Source organism: Homo sapiens, chromosome 12 (genome assembly GCF_000001405.40).
Source record: "Homo sapiens chromosome 12, GRCh38.p14 Primary Assembly".
Taxonomy (NCBI): Eukaryota; Metazoa; Chordata; class Mammalia; order Primates; family Hominidae; genus Homo; species Homo sapiens.
The window spans coordinates 116,448,663-116,451,264 of NC_000012.12; positions in this window are offsets into that span (position 1 = coordinate 116,448,663).

A 2,602-nucleotide genomic window follows, 5' to 3' on the forward strand; every position below is an offset into this window, starting at 1 on the left:
GTTTGGAACTGCTTAAGCAAAAATATTTGGTATAAGAAATGCTTCCTGACTTCTGCTGTTGGGTCCCACTGAGTTAGCACCCCAATTTATCTCTAGGGGATAAATTGTCCCCCACCTACCCCATGTGTATCCTGGGCTTTGGGTAATATTAAATGCATCCTGGCCAGGCGTGGTGACTCACACCTGTAATCCCAGCACTTTGGGAGGCCAAGACAGGCAGATCACCTGAGTTTCGGAGTTCAAGATCAGCCTGGCCAACATGGTGAAACCCCATCTCTACTAAAAATACAAAAATTAGCCATAGGCGATGGCAGGTGCCTGTTAATCCCAGCTACTCAGGAGTCTGAGGCCGGATAATCACTTGAACGTGGGAGACGGAGGTTGCAGTGAGCTGAGATCGCATCACTGCAGTCTAGCCTGGGTGACAGAGTGAGACTCTGTCTCAAAAAACAGAACAAAACAAACAAAAACGCATACTTCAGCTCTGGGGGTGCCATGTGACTCAGGACTGGCCAATCAGAACACTGTGTTTTCCTGGCCACAGGGATTGGATCAGAGATGGACCTGTGGTCCAATCAGAGCCAACAGGATGCAAATATTTTTGCAACAACCTTTGGAAAAGGCTCCCTAATCTTCTCTACCGGACTTGAAGCTGAGAAAATGGGACAGGGCCTTCTGACAGCCATTTCGTGGAGATAGGAGTGGAAGCAGTATGGAAAAAAAGCCAGGTTCTGGTGATATTTGCACCCCTAGATTCCACAGGGCCTGAAACCAACCATGATGGTTAATTATATATGTCAACTTGAATGGGCCACAGGGTGCCCAGAGTAAACATTGTTTCTAGATGAGATTAGCATTTGAATATGTGGATTCAGTACAAGTAGACTGCCTTCTCCCATGTGGGCGGACATTGTCCAATCCTGAATGAAACAAAAGGCAGAGGGAGAATGCATTCACCCTTTTTTCCGCCGCCTCAGTGTTTGGGCTGGGACACCTTATCTCACCTTCTCCTGCTCTTGGACTGGGATTGACATCATGGTCTTCCCTGGTTCTCAGGTCTGATTGACACCGCCAGCTTTCCTGGGCCTTCAGCTTGCTGATGGCAGATCGTGGTACTTCTCAGCCTCTGTAATTCCATGGGCCAATTCCTCATACGGTGTATATAAGCATATATTATAGGTTCTGTTTCTCTGGAGAACTCTGGCAGACATACCACCTATTCTCTAGACTTTTCAGTTGTGTGTGCCAATACATTCCTCATTTTGCCTAAACCAGCTCAAGTTGGAGCAGTGCCTACTTAGAATCTAAAGAGTCCTTGTGTGCTCATCATTTAGACTAGGGGTCAGCAAACCACGACTTGTGAGCCAAATCCAATCCAACACCTATTTTTTTTCCCTCCTTCTTTATGAACCTTATTGAGTTATAATTTACATCATGTCAAATTTGTCCATTTAAAGTACATGATTTGATCTGTTGTAGTAAATATACACAGTCATGCAAACCAGCACCAAAATTATTTTTTGGAACACTTCTATCCACCCCCAAAATTTCCCTCATGTCCTTTTTTGCTTTATCGGTAAATGAATTTTTTTTATAATAGCTTTTTTGAGATGTGATTCATATGCCATAACATTCATCTATTTAAAGTGTACAATTCAATGATTTTCAGTACATTTATAGATATGTGCAACCATCGCCACAGTCAATTTTAGAATACTTTCATCACTTCAAAAAGAAACTCTGTGTCCTGATTCCCTCAACTCCAGCCCCCAGCAACCATTAATCTAATTTCTTTCTCTATGGATTTGTCTATTGTGGACATTTCATATAATAGAATTATCTCATGTGTGGTGATTGGCTTCTTTCATTTAGCATAACCTCAAGGTTCTTCCATGTTGTAGCCCGTATCACTACTTCATCCCTTTTTATGGCTAAATAATATTCCCTTCTATGGATATGCCATATTGTACTTATCCATTCATCCAGCTGAGGGACATTTGGGCTGTTTGCATATTTTGGCTATTATGAGTCATGCCACCATGAACATTCCGGCACAAGTTTTTGTGTGGACATGTTTCCATTCCTCTTGCATATACACCTGGAAGTAAGATTTCCAGGTCATATGGCAGTTCTATGTTTACTCATTTGAGGAACTACCAATTACCTGCGGAAAACAGAACCTCTGGTGTTTTTCAGAGTGGCTGCATCTCTTTTTTTTTTTTTTTTTCTTTTTTTTGAGATGGAGTTTTTATCTTGTTGCCCAGGTTGGAGTGCAATGGCACAATCTCGGCTCACCGCAACTTCTGCCTCCTGGGTTCAAGTGATTCTCCTGCCTCAGCCTCCTGAGTAGCTGAGATTACAGGCATGCACCACCACGTCTGGCTAATTTTGTATTTTTGTAGAGATGGGATTTCTCAATGTTGGTCAGGCTGGTCTCGAACTCCCGACCTCAGGAGATCCGCCTGCCTTGGCCTCCCAAAGTGCTGGGATTGCAGGCGTGAGCCACCGTGCGTGGCCGGCTGCATCATTTTACATTCTTTTTTATCTTTTTTGAGACAGAGTTTCTATTGCCCAGGCTGGAGTGCAGTGGTGCGATCTCAGC